This window comes from Homo sapiens, chromosome 15 (genome assembly GCF_000001405.40).
Source record: "Homo sapiens chromosome 15, GRCh38.p14 Primary Assembly".
NCBI classification, from domain to species: Eukaryota; Metazoa; Chordata; class Mammalia; order Primates; family Hominidae; genus Homo; species Homo sapiens.
This window is the reverse complement of record NC_000015.10, coordinates 49538046-49559007: the sequence shown is the minus strand read 5'-3', so window position 1 is coordinate 49559007 and position 20962 is coordinate 49538046. Positions and strand designations below refer to the sequence as shown.

The following is a 20962-nucleotide window of genomic DNA, read 5'->3' as shown; positions in this document are numbered from 1 at the left end:
TGATACAGACAGTTTTATGGCTCACGTCTTTGCCAGTGTGACAGTACTGCTGCTGCTTGTAAATGGTGGGTGGGCGGGGGGTCTCCACCTTTGGGCCCACATGAGTGAGTTTTGGTTCTGGTGGTGGTGACTGGTTAGGTCAGCCTGACTTTGGGCCCTGGGGAAGTGGTCCAGTGCCTGTAGAGTTGGAACAGGGTAGGGGTAGGGTACGTAGGTAATTTCCAGGCTCCTCGATGGCTTGCAGAGCAATGGGTATGAGTCCTGAAAGGGCTGTGCCAGAATCAGGCTAACCCAGAGTTCAAGTGCTGGTTATGATGAAGAGTGGCGGGTTGGTCCCTGGGTCACTGGCCAAACTCTTAGGTGGCAGCAGGTAAAATGCTTAGATGGTGGAAACCAGGGGCAGGCAGAACACTTAGGTGGGGGGAACCAAAAGGAATATCACAAACCTGTGGGAGTTGGGTTTTCAGAATGGCTGTGGACTGCAGATGAAATGTTCAAGTAGGGTAAGGGTGGCTATGCAGTGGGCCTTTCACTGAGGAGGGGAAGATCCCTCAGCTGGAGCAATGGAGACTGGCAGCTGTGGGGCACATGGCACACTTGCACTTCACTTTTACCCAAGCAGTGCTAGACTTCACTGTCAGAACAATGCAAAGGTGCCAAGCCTTGTTTGTTACCTTTTGGAGTTTTGTCCCAGAGAAATGCAGAGCTGTGACTGACAACAGGTGTTTAGGTGGATCCAGGGCTGCTGCACTAGGAGCCCAGGTTGGCAAGCCCTGCCTTGCAAGGAGCAGTGTGGGTAGGGGTCACACGGTCTTTAGTCTGGGTGCTTTCTGGAGAAATGCAGAGCTGTGACCACCCACAGTATTCAGGCAAAGTTGGGGCATTAGGCATTAGGAGCCCAAGTCAGCAAGCCCTGCCGGATGAGGAGCAGTGGGGATAGGAGGTCACATAGTCTGCAGCCTGGGTGCTTCCTGGAGAAACTCAGAGCCATGACCACCCAGGTTCAGGTTGGGGTGGGGCCACTGTGCTGGAAACCCATGCTGGCAAGCCTTGCCTACTGAGGAGCAGTGGGGCAGTCTGGCTGCTTCTTAGCACCATGGCTGCAGCCTCTGTTGGGGCTACAGCAGATGGCACTGGACTACTCAGGGATTCAAGGCCTGTAGGGCCCCATGTGGGCTTCAATGGTTCTTCTGCAAAGACTCTAGGTGGCTCTCCATCTCAATCTGGAGGCTCCTGGGGGTCAGGAATATCTCTCATGTCCGGGATTGCAAAGGTCTATCACAGAAGTATAGATCCCCTCAGGACTCTCACTCACTCACCTTTCCCTGCGTGAGGGAGCTTCCCCCACTCTCCATCAGTTCTGGGTGGGCAGCTGCCTGGCTTCGCTCCTCTTGTTCTCTGTTGGTCCTGTTGCTTCCTTGGTGAATCTTCATGGGATCTCCTTGACAATCCACTTGAGGAACTAGTATTTACTCACCACTTTGTTTCATCTCCATGAGAGCAGTGTATACTAGCTGCTTCCCATCTGTCGTCTTAAACTCCTCTGTACATGACTTTCTAAAAGAGGAAAGCAACAGCAAAGTTAAGTGAAATGAATAATTATGAAATCTTAATTGTTCATTTTATTCTCTATCTGAATTAAGTTTTTTTCCCAAAACATTGTCAGATTGACTGGATTTTCAACTCTTACTTGTTTATGTCCCTCAATTAAAGGTACAAAGAAGTAATAAAATGGCCAAAAGCAAGTTATAAGAAAAAAAAAGACATATATATTTCATAAAGTAAATAATAATTTCTAAGGTGGCTGACTAGATGCAGCCAGAAGGAATATCTGCTACCAAGGGACTGGGACACTGGGAAGACTTGTGCACTCTGAGCATATCATCAGAGGGAAGGCACTGAGAGTGGATGGAGGGAGAACACACATACTGGGATGGAGGGGGAGGAATATGGGAACTCTGCATGGGGCTACCATGCACAAGGACTTCTTCCTGGCCCCAGTGACTCCTGGGGAAGAGGTGAGATGAGCAGGCAAGGGGCAACCCACTCTCACCAGGGACCTCTGGAATCCTGGCATCAAAGGACCCATGACCCCTATGGACGCTTGAGCTAGCAGGGAGAGCTGGTTGGAGATATGTTGGAGCAGGACTGTAGCCTGTGCAGAGGCCAGAGGGATTAGTGCGGGAATGTCTGTGATGGAGCACAACCAGAAATACCCATACCTGAAGGCTTGCCATGCTACCCTAGGAGACTTTCATTTTAGGGGAACTGTCAGACCTGAACAGAGCAGGGTATCCTTGCCTCGGAGATGGGCCAGTCTGACCTGAGTGCCCCCTGTCTGTCAGCCTCTCCTTGGGTCCAGCCTTTCCATGGTTGCTTGCAGTATGGCAATGGATGCCCAAATGGGCTGCCTCCCGGGGGCCTACATTAAAGCTCTTGCAGTGGCAAACAGTGCCTGGCCATCAAGAGTTCCAACAGAATGGCCCCTGTCTGATGAAGTGCTTTTGCTGGCACCACACATCAGAATGTTGTGGCCTGTGGCCCAAGAACACTTTAGCCCACCAGCACAGCAGATTTCTAACCTCAAGGGGCCAGGGAACAAAGCTGGGGCAGGATACCAGCTCTCCAGAGTTAGAGCACCCTGCCCAGGAGTGCTGAGCTGAGCTGTATAGCCTTCTAATTTCTTTCAGAAACAAAGTCAGTAAACTGAAGCCACCTTATACAACAATTAAACCCCTGACAAAATCAAATAAGATAAAAGAAAAAAAAATCCAAAGAAAGCAACTTTAAAGATTGAAGAAACATCAGCTCATGAAGATGAGAAGGAACAAGTGCAAGAACTCTGGGAACTCAAAAAGATAGACTGCTTACCTCCAAATAACTGTACTAGTTCCCCAATAATGGTTCTTAATCAGGATGAAATGGTTCCCGGGTCACTTGTCAGACTCGATGAGCAGGTCAAATATGCATCGATAATAACCTAATTCTAGATACAGAATTTAGAATACAGATTAAAAAGAATTCATTGAAATTCAATCCAAGGATTCTAAGGAATACAATAAAATGATACAGGTGGTAGAAGACAAAATGGCCATTTTTAAAAAGAAGAAGCACTGATACAGCTGAAAAACGCACTTCAAGAATTTCAGAATACAGTTGCAAGTATTAATGCAGAATAGACCAAGCTGAGGAAAGACTCTTCATGGCTCAAAGACTGATTCTCCAAAATCAACCAATCAGACAAATACAAAGAAAAAACAATGAACAAGAATGAACAAAACCTTCTAGAGATATGGGATTATGTAAAGAGACCAAATCTATGACTCATTGACATCCTTGAAAGAGGGAGAGAAAGCAAGCAGCATGGAAAACATTTCAGAATATTGTTTGTGAAAAATTACCCACCCTCACTAGAGAGGCCAACATTCAAATTCAGGAACTGTGAAGAACTGCAAAATACTATACAAGAAGACCATATCCAAGTCACATAGTCATCAGATTCTCCAAGGTTGACATGAAAGAAAAACATTAATGGCAGCTAGAGAGAAGAGGCAGTCACCTACAAAGGAAACCTCACCAATTTACCAGCAGACCTTCCAGCAAAAGCCCTACAACCCAGAAGAGACTGGCAGCCTATATTCAGCATTCTTAAAGGAATTTCCAAACAAGAATTAATATCCAGCCAAACTAAACTTCATAAGTGAAAGAGAAATAAGCTCCTTTTCAGATAAGCAAATGTTAAGGGAATTCACTACCAACAAATCTGCTTTATAAGAGGTCCCGAAGAGAGTGCTAAATATGGAAAGGAAAGATTTTTACTGGCCACTAAACCAACAACATTATAAAGCAATCACATAAAGAAGTCTGCATAATAACCAGCTAAAAACACAATGACTGCATTAAATCTGCATATATCGATAATAACCTTGAATGTAAATGGGCTAAATGCCTCAATTAAAAGGGACAGAGTGACAAGTTGAATAAAGAAGACCCAACTGTATGCTGTCTTCAAGAGACCAATCTCACATACAGTGATACCCCCAGGCTCAAAGTAAAGGGATGGAGAAAAATCCACCTAGCAAACAGAAAAGAAGCAGAAGTTGCTATTCTAGTTTAAGATAAAACAGGCAGAGGCAGAGCACAATGGCAGAATAGAAACCTCACTGATTGTCCCCCCACAAGAACACCAAGTTAACAACTATCTACACAGAAAAAAACACCTTCATAAAAAAACAAAAATCAGGCCAAGTACTTATAGTGCCTAGTTTTAGCTTCATATCACTGAAAGAGGCACTGAAGAGATAGGAAAAGCAGTCTGGAATCACCAACACCACCCCTCCCCAACCCCCAGCAGTGGCAGTGTAGTGCAGAGAGCATTTCTGGGTGCTGGGGAAAGAACACAACATTGTGAGATAGTTAACTCAGTGCTGTCCTGTTAGAGCAGAAAGAAAACCGAACCAAACTCAGCTGATACCGGCCCACAGAGGGAGCATTTAAACCAGCCCTAGACAGAGGGGAATTGTGGATCCCAGCGGTCAGAACTTGAGAACCTGCAAACCTTGCCACAGAGGGCTACACATTCTGTGTCTCCAAGTAAATCTGAGAGTCTAGGCCATAAGGACTGCGACTCTTAAGCAAGACCTATTACTGAACGAGGTCCAGAGACAATGGACTGGAGTGTGCACGCAACATAGTGACACATCAGTAGGGGCAGCCAAGGGAGTACCGGCATCACCTCTCTCATAACCCCAGGCTGCACAGCTCACAGCTCTGAAAGAGACCCCTTCCTTCTGCTAGAGGAAAGGAGAGGGAAGAGTGGGGAGGACTTTGACTTGCATCTTGGATACCAGCTCAACCCCAGCAGGATAGGGCATCAGACAGAGATGGGAGGCCCTTATTCCAGGCCCTAGTTTCCAGATGACATTTCTAGACACAAACTGGGCAAAAATGGAACACACTGCCTTGAAGGAAAGGGCCCAATCCTGGCAACATTATCACCTGCTAACTGAAGAGCCCTTGAGCCCTGAATAACTAGCAGCAATACCCAAGTACTACATTGAGGGCCCTGGGTGATACTCTGAGACTTGCTGGCTTCAGGTACCAGCATGGCCACAGGTGGGGAGAGCATCAGCTGTGCTCTTGGGGTCCCCAATTCCAGGACTTGACTCTTGGGCAGCATTTCTGGACCTGCCCTGGGCCAGAGAGGAGCCCACTTCCCTGAAGGTTGTGTCCCAGGCCAGGCAGCATTCAACAAGAGCTGATTTAAGAGCCTGTGGCCCTTAAGGGAACATTGGCTGATAGTGTGGCAATATTCCTCATGGCATGGTGTGACAGTGGCTACAGGGTGAGATGACTCTGCCTTTGGAAAGGGGAGGGAAGAGTAGGAAGGACTGCATCTTGTGATTTGAGTGCCAGCTCTAAGGTTTTTTTTCTTTAGTCTCTGGCTCCCAGGCAGCACACCTGGACCTACCAGGGGCCTGGGGAACCTCGCCACCCTGAAGGGAAGGACACAGGCCTGGCTGGCTTTGCCACTTGCTGATTGTAGAGCCCCAGGGCCTTGAGCAAACATATACAGTAGTTAGGGAGTGATTGCTGCAGGCCTTCAGTGAGACCCAGCATTGTTCTGGCTTCACGTCTTACCCAAAGCAGTCATAATGGTGATAGCCACAGGAGTGCTTGTGTCACTCCACCTACATTTTTAGGTGTCAGAACAGAAAGAGAGATTCTGTATGTTTGGGATAAAGTAAGGGAGGAGAAAAAAAGTCTCTGCCTGGTAATTCAGAGAATTACCTCCACAAGTCTGCAAGAACCACAGTGTTACTGGGCTTGGGGTGTCCCTTAAAGTAGATACAGCTTATATCACAACACCCAAGCTCTTTCAAGTATCTGGAAAACCTTCCCAAGTAGAACAGCTATAAATAAGCGCAGACAGTGAATATTACAATAAATACCTAACTCTTTAATGCCCAGACACCAAAGAACATCAACTGGCATCAACACATCCAGGAAAAGACTTCAGCAATTAACTAAATAAGGCACCAGGGACCAGTCTTGGAGAAACAGAGATATGTGACCTTTGAAACAAAACTTAAAAATAGCTGTGTTGAGGAAACTCAAATAAATTCAGGATAACCCAGAGAAGGAATCTGAATTATATCAGATAAACTTAACAAAGAGATAGAAATAAAAAGAAGCAGAAATTCTGGAGCTGAAAATGCAATTGGCACACTGCAGAATGCATCAGAGTCCTTAAATAGCAGAATGGATCAAGCAGAAGAAAGAATTAGTGAGCTTGAAGATAGGCTATTTGAAAACACAAGGAAATCAAAAGAAAAAAACAAAAAACAATGAAACATGCCTACAGGATCTAGAAAATAGCCTCAAAAGGGCAAATCTGAGTTGTTGGCCTTAAAAAGGAGGTAGAAAAAGAGATGGGGTAGATAGGTTATTGAAAGGGATAATAGGCAATTTCCTTAAACCTAAAGGAAAAATACCAATATCCAAGTACAAGAAGGTTATAGAACACTAAGCAGGTTTAACCCAAAGATTACTTAAGATGTTTAATAATCAGACTCCCAAAGGTCAAGGATAAAGAAAGGACCTGAGAGCAGCAAGATAAAAGAAAGAAACAACATACAATAATGCTCCAGTACATCTGGCAGCAGTCTTTTCAGTGGAAACCTTATAGGCCAGAAGAGAATGGAATGATATATTTAAAGTGCTGAAGGAACAAAAACATTTACCCAAAGTAGTATATCTGGCAAAAATATCCTTCAAACATGAAGGAAAGATAAAGATATTCCCACACAAAAGCTGAGGGATTTCAGCAATACCGGACCTATCCTACAAGAAATGCTAAAGGGAGGACTTCAATTAGAAAGAAAAAACATTAATGAGCAATAAGTAATCACTTACATTTACAAAACTCACTGGTAATAGTAAGTACACAGAAAAAACACAGAATATTAAAACACTGCAACTGTTGTGTGTAAACTACTCTTATCCTAAGTAGAAAGACTAAATAAAGGAGGAACCACTCAAAAATTATAATTTCAACAACTTTTTAAGACATAATACAGTAAGATATAAATAGAAACAACAAAGAGTTAAAAAGTGGGGGGACAAATTTAAACCATTGAGTTTTTATTAGTTTGTTTATGGAAATAGTATTATGTTGTTACCAGGTTAAAATATGGGTTTTAAAATAGTGTTTGCAAGCCTCATGGTAACCTCAAACCAAAAAACATACAGTAGATACACAAAAAATACAAAGCAAGAAACTAAAGCATGTCACCAGAGAAAAATCACATTCACTACAGTAAGACAGGAGCAAAGAAAGAAGGAAGAGAAGAACACAGAACAAGAAAGCAAATAACAAAATCACAGAAGTAAACCCTTACTTACCAATAATAATATTGAGTGTAAGTGGACTAAACTCTAATTAAAAGACTGGCTGAATGGATGAAAAAACAAGACTCATTGTTCTGTTGCCGACAAAAAACACACTTCACCTATAAAGATACACATAGACTGAAAATAAAGATATGAAGAAAAGTATTCTATGCCAATGGAAACCAAAAAAAGGAATTGCTATACTTGTATCAGACAAAATAGACTTAAATACAGAAACTATAAGAAGAAACAAAGAAGGTTATTACATAATAATAAAGGGGTCAATTCAGCAAGAGGATATAACAATTTAAAAATACATATGCGTCCTCTCCCTCTCCCTCTCCCTCTCCCTCTCCCTCATGCTGAGCCAAAGCTGGACTGTACTGCTGCCATCTCGGCCCACTGCAACCTCCCTGCCTGATTCTCCTGCCTCAGCCTGCCGAGTGCCTGCAATTGCAGGCGCGTGACGCCACGCCTGACTGGTTTTCGTATTTTTTTGGTGGAGACGGGGTTTCGCTGTGTTGGCTGGGCTGGTCTCCAGCTCCTAGCGGCGAGTGATCCGCCAGCCTCGGCCTCCCGGGGTGCCGGGATTGCAGACGGAGTCTGGTTCACTCAGTGCTCAATGGTGCCCAGGCTGGAGTGCAGTGGTGTGATCTCGGCTCGCTACAACCTCCACCTCCCAGCCGCCTGCCTTGGCCTCCCAAAGTGCCGAGATTGCAGCCTCTGCCCGGCCGCCACCCCGTCTGGGAAGTGAGGAGCGTCTCTGCCTGGCCGCCCATCGTCTGGGACGTGAGGAGCCCCTCTGCCTGGCTGCTCAGTCTGGAAAGTGAGGAGTGTCTCTGCCCGGCCGCCATCCCATCTAGGAAGTGACGAGCGCCTCTTCCCGGTCGCCATCCCATCTAGGAAGTGAGGAGCGTCTCTGCCCGGCCGCCCATCGTCTGAGATGTGGGGAGAGCCTCTGCCCCGCCGCCCCACCTGGGATGTGAGGAGCGCCTCTACCCGGCCGTGACCCCGTCTGGGAGGTGAGGAGCGTCTCTGCCCAGCCGCCCCGTCTGAGAAGTGAGGAGACCCTCCGCCTGGCAGCCGCCCATCTGAGAAGTGAGGAGCCCCTCCGCCTGGCAGCTGCCCCGTCTGAGAAGTGAGGAGCCCCTCCGCCTGGCAGTCACCCCGTCTGGGAAGTGAGGAGCGTCTCCGCCCAGCAGCCACCCCGTCCGGGAGGGAGGTGGGGGTCAGCCCCCGCCAGGCCAGCCGCCCCGTCCGGGAGGGAGGTGGGGGGGTCAGCCCGCCGCCCGGCCAGCCGCCCCGTCCGGGAGGTGAGGGGCGCCTCTGCCCGGCCGCCCCTACTGGGAAGTGAGGAGCCCCTCTGCCCGGCCAGCCGCCCCGTCAGGGAGGGAGGTGGGGGGGTCAGCCCCCCGCCCGGCCAGCCACCCCGTCCAGGAGGGAGGTGGGGGGATCAGCCCCCTGCCCGGCCAGCCGCCCCGTCCGGGAGGGAGGTGGGGGGGTCAGCCCCCTGCCCGGCCAGCCGCCCCCGTCCAGGAGGGAGGTGGGGGGATCAGCCCCCAGCCCGGCCAGCCGCCCCGTCCGGGAGGGAGGTGGGGGGGTCAGCCCCCTGCCCGGCCAGCCGCCCCGTCTGGGAGGGAGGTGGGGGGGTCAGCCCCCCGCCCGGCCAGCCGCCCCATCCGGGAGGGAGGTGGGGGGGGTCAGCCCCCCGCCCGGCCAACCACCCCGTCTGGGAAGTGAGGAGCCCCTCTGCCCGGCCACCACCCCGTCTGGGAGGTGTACCCAACAGCTCATTGAGAGCGGGCCATGATGACAATGGCGGTTTTGTGGAATAGAAAGTGGGGAAAGGTGGGGAAAAGATTGAGAAATCGGATGGTTGCTGTGTCTGTGTAGAAAGAGGTAGACATGGGAGACTTTTCATTTTGTTCTGTACTAAGAAAAATTCTTATCCTGTTGATCTGTGACCTTACCCCCAACCCTGTGCTCTCGGAATCATGTGCTGTGTCCACTCAGGGTTAAATGGATTAAGGGCGGTGCAAGATGTGCTTTGTTAAACAGATGCTTGAGGGCAGCATGCTCGTTAAGAGTCATCACCACTCCCTTATCTCAAGTACCCAGGGACACAAACACTGTGGAAGGCCAGGCCACAGGGTCCTCTGCCTAGGAAAACCAGAGACCTTTGTTCACTTGTTTATCTGCTGACCTTCCCTCCACTGTTGTCCTATGACCCTGCCAAATCCCCCTCTGCGAGAAACACCCAAGAATAATCAATAAAAATAAATAAATAAATAAAATACATATGCAAATCAATAAGAGAAGAAAATTTGAAAGTAAACGTGGAAATTAAACAATATGCTCCTCATGAAGAAATTAAGAAAGAATTTGAAAAATCTCTTTAAACAAACGACTATGGAAACACAACATGCCAAAATCCATGGAATAGGGTGAAAGCAGTACTAAGAGGCATATTTATAGCTGTAAGTGCCTACATCAATAAAGAACAACTTCAAAGAAACAGTCTCTAACAATGTGTCTTAAAGAATTAGAAAAGCAAGAGCAAACCAAACCCAAAATTAGGAGAAGAAAATAAATAATAAAGATCAGAGCAGAAGTAAATGAAATTGAAATGAAAACAAATGATAAGAAAGATTAATAAAACAAGTTTGTTTTTTGAAAAGTTAGAAAAAATTGACAAATCGTTAGCCAGACTAAGTAAAAAAGACAAGATACAAATCAGAAATGAAAAAGGAGACATTGCAACTGATACTGCAGAAAGTCAAAGGATTATTAGTTGCTACCATGAGCAACTGTATGCCAATAAATTAGAAAATCTAGAGGAAATTGACAGATTTCTAAATATTACCACCTCCCAAGATTGAACCAGGAACAAATTCAAATCCTGAACAAACCAAGTAATGAGATCAAAGCCATAATAAAAAGTACCCCAGTAAGGAAAAGCCCAGGACTTGCTGGCTTCACTGCTGAATTCTACCAAACATTCAAAGAAGAACTAATACCAATTCTACTCAAACTATTTCCAAAAAAGAGAGGAGGAGGGAATACTCCCAAACTCATTCTACAAGGCAGTATTATTTGGATACCAAAACTAGACAAAGGCACATCAAGAAAAGAAAAGAAAACTACAGACCAGTATCACTGATGGATATTGATGCAAAAATCCTCAACAAGATACTACAAACCAAATTCAACAATACGTGAGAAAGATCATTCATCAATACCAAGTGGCATTTATTCCTGAAGTGGAAGGATGGTTCAACATATGCAAATCAATCAATGTAATACATTGTATTAACAGAATGAAGGATAAAACCCATATGATCATTTCAACTGATGCTGAAAAAAAGCATTTGATAAAATTCCATATCCCTTCATAATAAAAATTATCAAAAAATTGGTGATATAAGGAATATACCTCAGCATAGTAAAAACCATGTATAACAGACTCAGAGCTAGTATCATGCTGAATGGGGAAAAACTGAAAGTTTTTCCTCTAAGATCTGGAACATGACAAGGATACACACTGTCACCAGTTGTTCAACATAGTACTGGAATTCCATCTGCTGATGAAGAGAATGTATATTCTGAAGTTGTTGGTAGACTATTCTGTAAATATCTGTTAAGTCCATTTGTTCTAGGGCATAATTTATGTCCATTATTTCTTTGTTGACTTTCCATCTTGATGACCTGTTTGGTGTCGTCAGTGGAGTATTGAAGTCCTCTACTATTACTGTGTTGCTGTATATCTAATTTCTTGTGCCTAGTAATAATTGTTTTACAAATCTGTGAGTTCCTATGTTAGATGCATATAAGTTTAGGATTGTGACATTTTCCTGTTGGACTGATTGCTTTATCATTATATAAATGTCTCTTTGTCTTTTTTAACTGCTGTTGCTTTAAAGTCTATTTTGTCTGATACAAGAATAGCTACTCCTTGTTGGTTTAAAGTCTGTTTTATCAGAGACTAGGATTGCAACCCCTGCCTTTTTTTGTTTTCCATTTGCTTGGTAGATCTTCCTCCATCCCTTTATTTTGAGCCTATGTGTGTCTCTGCACTTGAGATGGGTTTCCTGAATACAGCACACTGATGGGTCTTGACTCTTTATCCAATTTGCCAGTCTGTGTTTTTTAATTGGAGCATTTAGCCCATTTACATTTAAAGTTAATATTGTTATATCTGAATTTGATCCTGTCATTTTGATGTTAGCTGGTTATTTTGCTTGTTAGTTGATGCAGTTTCTTCCTAGCCTTGATGGTCTTTACAATTTGGCATGTTTTTGCAGTGGCTGGTACTGGTTGTTCCTTTCCATGTTTAGTGCTTCCTTCAGGAGCTCTTCTAGGGCAGGCCTGGTGGTGACAAAATCTCTCAGCATTTGCTTGTCTGTAAAGTATTTTATTTCTCCTTCACTTATGAGGCTTAATTTGGCTGGATATGAGATTCTGGGCTGAAAATTCTTTTCTTTAAGAATGTTGAATATTGGTCCCCACTCTCTTCTGGCTTGTAGTTTCTGCCAAGAGATCCGCTGTTAGTCTGATGGGCTTCCCTTTGTGGGTAACCCGACCTTTCTCTCTGGCTGCCCTTAACATTTTTTCCTTCATTTCAACTTTGGTGAATCTGACAATTATGTGTCTTGGACTTGCTCTTCTCAAGGAGTATCGTTGTGGCATTCTCTGTATTTCCTGAATTTGAATGTTGGCCTGCCTTGCTAGATGGGGGAGTTCTCCTGGATAATATCCTGCAGAGTGTTTTCTAACTTGGTTCTATTCTCCCCATCACTTTCAGGTACACCAATCAGACGTAGATTTGGTCTTTTCACATAGTCCCATATTTCTTGGAGGCTTTATTTCTTTTTATTCTTTTTCCTCTAAACTTCTCTGCTCATCATCACTGGCCATCAGAGAAATGCAAATCAAAACCACAATGAGATACCATCTCACACCAGTTAGAATGGCGATCATTAAAAAGTTAGGAAACAACAGGTGCTGGAGAAGATGTGGAGAAATAGGAACACTTTTACACTGTTGGTGGGACTGTAAACTAGTTCAACCATTGTGGAAGTCAGTGTGGTGATTCCTCAGGGATCTAGAACTAGAAATACCATTTGACCCAGCCATCCCGTTACTGGGTATATACCCAAAGGATTATAAATCACGCTGCTATAAAGACACATGCACACGTATGTTTATTGCGGCACTATTCACAATAGCAAAGACTTGGAACCAACGTAAATGTCCAACAACGATAGACTGGATTAAGAAAATGTGGCACATATACACCATGGAATACTATGGAGCCATAAAAAATGATGAGTTCATGTCCTTTGTAGGGACATGGATGAAAATGGAAACCATCATTCTCAGCAAACTGTTGCAAGGACAAAAAACCAAACACTGCATGTTCTCACTCATAGGTGGGAATTGAACAATGAGAACACATGGACACAGGAAGGGGACCATCACACACCGGGGCCTGTTGTGGGGTGAGGGGAGGGGGGACGGATAGCATTGGGAGATATACCTAATGCTAAATGACGAGTTAATGGGTGCAGCACACCAACATGGCACATGTATACATATGTAACAAACCTGCACGTTGTGCACATGTACCCTAAAACTTAAAGTATAATAATAATAAAATTAAAAAAAAAAAAAATAGCTACTCCTGCTCCCTTCTGGTGAGATCATATGATAGGCCACAAAACAAGTCTCAATAAATTTAAGAAAATCAAAATTATATGAAGTACTCTTTCAGACCACAGTAGAATAAAATTAGAAATTACTCCAAAAGGAACCCTCAAAATGATACCAATACATGGAAGTTAAATAATCTGCTCCTGAATGATCTTTGGGTGAACAATGAAATTAAGACGAAAATTTTAAAATTCTTTGAACTGAACAGTAATACTGACATGACCTATCTAAACCTCTGGGACACAGCAAAAGCCATGCTAAGAGGAAAGTTCATAGCATTAAATGTCTATATCAAAAAGCCTAAAAAAGCACAAATAGACAATCTAAGGTCACATCTCAAGGAACTAGAGAAACAAGAACAAACCAATCCCAAACCCAGCTGAAGAAAATCAACAACAAAGATCAGAGCAGAACTAAATGAAATTGAAACAAAAAACTATAAAAGACAAACAAAACAAAAAGTTGATTCTTTGAAAAGATTAACAAATTTGACACACCATTAGCAAGATTAAGCAAGAAAATAGAAGATCCAAGTAAGCTCAATTAGAAACAAAATGGGAAACATTACAACCGATACCACAGAAATACAAAAGATCATTTAGGGCTACTATGAACACCTTTATGCACACAAATTACAAAATCTACAGGAGATGGATAAATTCCAGGAAATATACAACTGTCCTAGGTTATATCAGGAAGAAATAGAAACTCTGAATGGAGCAATAACAAGTAGTGAGATTGAAACAGTAATAAAAAAATTGCCAAAAAAAAGTTTGAGGATCAGATGAATTCACAGCTGAATTCTATCAGACATTTAAAGAAGAATTGGTACCAATTTTACTGAAACTATTCCACAAGATGGTGAAAGAGGGACTCTTCCCTAATTCTATGAAGCCAGGATCACCCTAATACCAAAACCAGGAAAGAACATAACAAAAAAAGAAAACTACAGACCAATATTCTTGATGAACATAGATGCAAAAATCCTCAACGAAATACTAGCTAACCAATTCCAACAGCATATCAAAAATATCATACACCACGATCAAGTATGTTTCATAACAGGGATGCAGGGATGGTTTAACATACCATCAATATGTCAATAAATGTGATACATCACAAAAACAAAATTAAAAAGCATATGTTTATCTCAATAGATGCAGAAAAATTATTTGACAAAATCCAGCATCACTTTATGATTAAAACCCTCAGCAAAATTGGCAAAGAGGAGACATACCTCAGGGTAATAAAGCCATCTATGACAAATACACAGCCAACATTATACTGAATGGGGAGAAGTTGAAAGCATTGCCCCCTGAGAACTGGAACAAGACAAGGATGCCCACTTTCACCACTTCTATTTAACATACTGGCAGTCCTAGCCAGAGCAATCAAAGAAGAGAATGAAATAAAGAGCATCCAGATGAGTAAAAAGGAAGTCATACTGTCACTGTTTTCTGATGATATGATTGTATACCTAGAAAACCCTAAAGTCTTCATCCAAAAAGCTCCTATATCTGACAAATTCATTCACTAAAGTTTCAGGATATGAAATCAGTGTACACAAATAAGTAGCACTGCTATACACCAACAACAACCAAGCTGAGAATCAAATGAAGAACTCAGTCCGTTTTACAACAGCTGCAAATATAAATAAATTAAATAAATAAATAACTTGGGAATATACCTAACCAAGGAGGTGAAAGACCTCTACAAGGAAAACTATAAAACACTGCTGAAACAAATCACAGATGAGACAAACAAATAAAAACACATCCCATGCTCACAGATAGGTAGAATCAATATTGTGAAAATGATCATACTGCCAAAAGCAACCTACAAATTCAGTGCAATTCCCATAAAAGTAACATCATCTTTCTGCACAGAACTAGAAAAAATTCTAAAATTCATATGGAACCAAAAATCCCACAAAGCCAAAGTAAGACTAAACAAAAAGAACAAATTTAGAGGCATCACATTACCCGACTTCAAACTATACTACAAGGCTATGTTACCAAAACACCATGGTACTAGTATAAAAATAGGCAAGTAGACAAATCGAAGAGCATAGAAAACACTGAAATAAAGCCAAATACTTACAGCCAACTGATCTTTGACAAAGCAAACAAAAACATAAAGTGGGAAAAGGAGACCCTATTTAACAAATGGTTCTGGGATAATTGGCAAACCACATGTAGAAGAATAAAGCTGGATACTTGTCTCTTATACAAAAGTCAACTGAAGATGGCTCAAAGACTTAAACTAAGACCTGAAACCATAAAAATTCTAGAAGATAACATTGAAAAAACTCTTCTAGACATTGCTTTAGGCAAAGAGTTCATGACCAAAAAACCAAAAGCAAATTCAACAAAAACAAAAACAAACAGATGGGACTTAATTAAACTAAAAAGCTTCTGCACAACAAAAGAAATAATCGTCACAGTAAACAGCCTCCTGAGTCGGTGCAAACATTTGCAAGCTATGCATCCGACAAAGGACTAATATCCAGAATCTACAAGAAACTCAAACGAATCAGCAAGAAAAAACAAATAATTCCATTAAAAAGTGGGCAAAGGACATGAATAGACAGTTCTCAAAAGAAGATATACAAATGGCCAACAAACATATGAAAAAATGCACTACATCGCTGATTATTAGGGAAATACAAATCAAAACCACAATATGATACCATTTTACTCCTGCAAGAATTACCATAAGTAAAAAATCCAAAAATAATATATGTTGGCATGGGTGTGGTGAAAAGGGAACACTTTTACACTGCTGGTGGTAATGTAAACAAATAAAACAACTATGGAAAACAGTATGAGGATTACTCAAAGAACTAAAAGTAGAACTACCGTTTGATCCAGCAATCCCACTACTGGGTATCTACCCAGAGGAAAAGAAGACATTATATGAAAAAGTCACTTGCACACGCATGTTTATAGCAGCACAATTTGCAATTGCAAAAATATGAAACCAGCCTAAATGCCTATCAACCAACAAGTGGATAAAGAAAATGTGGTATATATATATACAAAAAGAAATGTTTATAAAAAGAAATAATCTGTTCACAAACCTCCTTCACATGTAATTTACCTATATAAGAAACCAGCACATGTCCCCTTGAATATAAAATAAAAGTTAAAAATATTAAATAAATGTATAACTAGTTTTAATTATATATATATATATTTATATATAAAATGGAATACTACTCAGCCATTAGAAGGAATGAAATAATGGCATTCACAGCAACCTGGATGGAGCTGCAGACAATTATTCTAAGTGGAGTAACTCAAGAATGGAAAACCAAACATCATATGGTCTCACTTATACATGGGAGCTAAGCTATGAGGATGCAGAGGCATACATATAGTGGACTTTAGGGACTCAGGGGGAAGGATGGGAGGGGGATGGGAATGGGAGGGAGATGAGGGATAAAAGCCTACAAATTGGGTACTGTGCACATTGCTCAGGTGGCGAGTGCACCAAAATCTCAGAAATCACCACTGAAGAACTTTTCCATGCAATTAGATACCACTTGTTCCCCCAAAACTATTGAAATCAAAATAAATTTTTAAAACAACAACAACAATCCAACCCAAATAATTTCATCATCTCCCTCCACTGGCTGTGACTCAGACTTACTTTCTCAATAAATTGTACTAATGTTTATAAAAAGAAATAATCTGTTCACAAAACCTTCTTAACATGCAATTTACCTATATAAGAAACCTGCACATGTACCCTTGAATATAAAATAAAAGTTAAAAATATTAAATAAATGTAAAACTAGTTTTAAAAACTAAAATTTAAAATCATAAGGAAACCAAAGAAATTTAATTTCCAGGTGGTTGGAGGGAGTGGAGAGGGTGGCATTGCTCCTTACTGAAACATATTCCAGTTCAAATTTAGCTTTCAGGCATAGTGACGTACATTAATTTATATAAATGTGATTTTAGAATTTAAAAAATGGCGAATTTTTATTCGGTTAATAAATTGCAAGGCAAATTTAAAAAATAATAATTTCTTTGGCAGCTGACATATATTAAAATTTAAAAATATAAAATTAATCTAATTTGATTTTATTTTGGTAGATATATCCTGATTGTTTGGCACAAGCCATATATGCAACGTTCCATGAAGCATTTCCAGAATCGAGTTACCTCTTTAATGATGAATTTAAAGAAGATCTAGGGAATAACATTTTTCTTTGGTGTTCAGGTATGAATATATCATTTAAATATTAATCATTGTTTTGGTTTCTAAAATTTTGGGGTTGCAGTATTTTATTTATTCCATCCAAAAATATTGGTAGTTCTTTTTCTTACAAAGCATGCCATAGCAGTACCCATGTGTTAAAATAAATGTTATTTATTTTCTTCTGAACATTTCATTATACCATAATTAATTACTTATTAAATTTAGAGCCAAATATCTTATAATCAATGGAATTATTATGGAAAACTGAAATGTCACAGAAATAGTCATACCATGTATGTACTATATTTGGACCATACATGTTTTAAACTGCTTTTAGAATACTACTTATATTTAATTAGCGAATAATATTATTTAGGATAAAATCTAGAAATAATTTAATTTCTCAGAGAACATTAATCAAGGAAAACCTGTTTGTGAATCACTGTGTGTGTGTAGGTGAAAATGGTAGGATTGAAAAGCTAAAGGAAAGCAAAACTCTATCCTAGAACATTTATCAAGAAATTTAAGTACTAGAGTTTAAAACTAAGGTATAGAAATATAGTTTCATGTTCCTAGAATGACCTCCCAGCATTTTTTATAAGATTATTATTATTAACCACCAGAAGCTATTAACTGTTTTCACATAGTTCTTGTAAATATTTCAATCTAAATGTTATTTGATTTTTAAAACTGCTTAATGTCAGTTTTTACTAACCAAATCACTTTTATAAGAAAATGTTTTATACTTTATGGAGGGAGCCTTTGAGAGGTAAAGACTTGAAAACAACCCTGAGAAACCACCTATGAATACACACGGGTAAGAATCTCCTGCCAGTTATATAAAAAATCAAATTAATTCAAACATAAGAAACAAAAACGAAATGACCACTGCATTCAAACAAAGATACTACAAGAAAAGGACATGATGAAGGGCAGAAGAATTTTCTACAGACATGTTATGAACTGAATTGTATCTTCCCCAAAATTCATATGCTGAAGTAAATTCATCTCTACTACACCTCACAATGTGACTGTATTTGGAGGTGTGATCTTTAAATAAGTAATTAAGGTTAAATGGCATTACATGGGTGGGCTCTAATCCAATATGATTGGTGTCCTTATAAGAAGTGGGAGAGATAAATGATATGAGCAACACGGTGGATTAGGTTATACCAGCTTTTATCTCTCTCACACACACACAAAATAATTAGACAGCTACCCATGAACAAAAATAGTCCTAGAAGGGGTTAAGAGTCAAATTTAAAACCTACAGCAAAACAGTACAGCAAAAACCAATAATTGCACAGAAAGGATTTCTGGGGAGATTGGCATATGTGAGACATCTGGATACAGCTAGGAACAAAGAAAGATGGGGAATATCAGAATCAGTCATGAGGCAGGTACCACTCTGGTCTCCAGTGGCCTGCTCTGCAAAGGATCCTAGCAACCTTTTCTACTAAGGACTTCAACAGTTCCTGAGGCAGCCACACACTCCCTGCAGCTTTCACATCAGATGTCCCCTTAGTGTTCATCCTTTCTGTCTTCAGGACACAGGACACTGCTGGCTCTTCCACTGAGATGGTTAACCAACAGCCATTGCTGTTTTGACCTCCTGGAGAGAGAGAGAGAGACTGCTGTGCTCCATCCTCAATAAGAAGCCACTGTTGTGCTACCCAGGGCCAGGACCTACTCACATCCAAAACCATGCATGCCACAGACTCCAGAGCCACAGACACTCTTTGCATACCCACATTCTAGGCCTCAGCTTTGTTGCAGGAGCATGCATGTCCATGTTTCATATTCCAAAGTCATTTTCACGACAAGCTAGCCTGCACCTGGGACCATGGAGCCACTTTTACTCCACACATGTCTTCACTTTAAATTCTAGCTCTACAGCCACTCCATAAACACCTCCTATGGACACCAGAGCCACTGCTGCAGCATCTGCATCTGCATTGTGGACTCTAGAGCAACAGTAAATTTGCACATGCCCATGCTCTGGACCCCAGATCCTAGGGCAACACCTGCACCCATGACACTGGACCCACTGCAACACCACCTCAGATTCCTGAGCTCTGCCTGAATTTACTCTCCAGACCTCATTTTCTTGTTTCTCCAAAAGTTCCCATGTCCCACAAACCATTATTAATGCTGCTGCAGAGGGACCTGCACCACAGGCACCAATGTCCCTACTGCCCCAGACCCTGGAGCCACTGACTCTTCATGTGTACTCATACTCCAAATCCTGGCACCATGGCCATTTTGTGGGCACTGAACATCAGACACTGATGCCACCACTACTACCACCACGAAGATGCCCACAAACTGAACCTGGCATTTTTAGGGATATCTGTGGGCATGAATTCCACTATGGGAGAAAAAGAGATTAGTAAGATCCCAGCAGCCTTTGTAGCTGAAGACGCTAACAACCCTCACAGCCATTGCAGACACCACTAGCCTTGGCGACTGAGGATGCTGCAATTTTCAGTGATGCTGACCTCATCTGACAGAGCTGCATGGGGAATGTAAGCTGTTGCATGCTCACCAAGCCAGAAACACTACACCTCACCTAGTCAATGCCTTCACACCCACCCATAGTTGAAGCTCTTTCCCCACCAAAACCAGCATGTAAATTCTGGAAGAGGTGACTGCACCATCAAATGTGCAGACATTAATGCAAGGCAAAAAGAAACAAGGAAAACAAACATGATACCGCCAACAGAATGCAATAATTTTCTAGTAACTGACCCAAAATAAATGGATACTCAACAATTTCCTGATAAAGAATTCAAAATAATTAAGGAAACTAAGTTAACTAAAAAGAGAACACAGATAGACAACTAAACAATAGAAAAAGATACTTGAAAACAATGAGGTCAATGAAGAAATAGGAATTTAAAAAACCAGAACTCTGGAGTTTAAGAATACAGTGAATGAAATGAAAAATGCAATAGACAGTGTCAACAGCAGACTTGATCAAGCAGAAGAAAGAATCTGTGAACTCTAAGACAGGTCAATTGAAAGTATCCAGTCAGAGGAGCAAAAGGAAAAAAGAATGAAGAAAGTCTACAGGGTTTATAGGAAACCATTAAAAGAGTTAAATTTTACATTGCAACCTTTTCAGATGAAGAGAGAGAAAGGGCAGGACCTGAAGCCTTGACCCACTGGAGCATTTGCACCCCCTGGTACCCAAAGTGAAGTAGCACCTCACCCCCTGGGGACCCAAAGTCTCAGCCTACCAGAGCATCCTGCTTCTCCAGTGCCAAAGCTGAGTCAATGCTTTCACCTTCCAGGGACCCTAAGCTTAGGTCCCCCAGAGCAGTTGTGCCTTCTGCGGCCAAACTGATGAAGTGCTCCAGGTTCCAGGGAATCAGAAGCTTGGCTGAGCTGTCCTTGTCATCTTCATGTTGAGTAGGCTGAGGAAAAGGAGGAAAAACAGGGATTGGTCTTGGCGGTGGTAGAGGCAGATGAAAATCCATATGTAAGTGAACCCAAGTACTTCAATTTATATTCTTCAAGTGTCAACCGCATAATCAAACTCTCTCCTGGCTTGCAAAGTTTTTGTTGAAAAATCCACTGAAAGCCACCACACTCCCTTGTATGTGAGGAATTTTCTTTACCTTATTGCTTTCAAAATTTTCTGTCCGTGATTCTT

At 41.8% G+C, this 20962-nt stretch overlaps 1 protein-coding gene and 1 long non-coding RNA gene across 29 annotated transcripts in view; one reads left to right on the top strand and one right to left on the bottom strand.

The window, feature by feature from the left end:
• The window catches only part of FAM227B (family with sequence similarity 227 member B), a 293849-nt gene that overhangs the window by 61811 nt on the left and 211076 nt on the right, over positions 1-20962 (top strand). For all 28 annotated transcript variants that reach the window (XM_047432224.1, XM_047432222.1, XM_047432221.1 and 25 more), the window contains one exon: positions 17202-17328. In XM_047432224.1, coding sequence (XP_047288180.1) covers positions 17202-17328 — 127 coding nt within the window. The remainder of the gene's footprint in view (positions 1-17201; positions 17329-20962) is intronic.
• Positions 1419-20634, bottom strand: LOC105370811 (uncharacterized). Its single transcript, XR_001751537.2, has 3 exons — positions 20547-20634; positions 2872-2986; positions 1419-1557 (listed from the first exon to the last, which is right to left on the bottom strand). It is a non-coding gene; the product is annotated as an uncharacterized LOC105370811 (long non-coding RNA).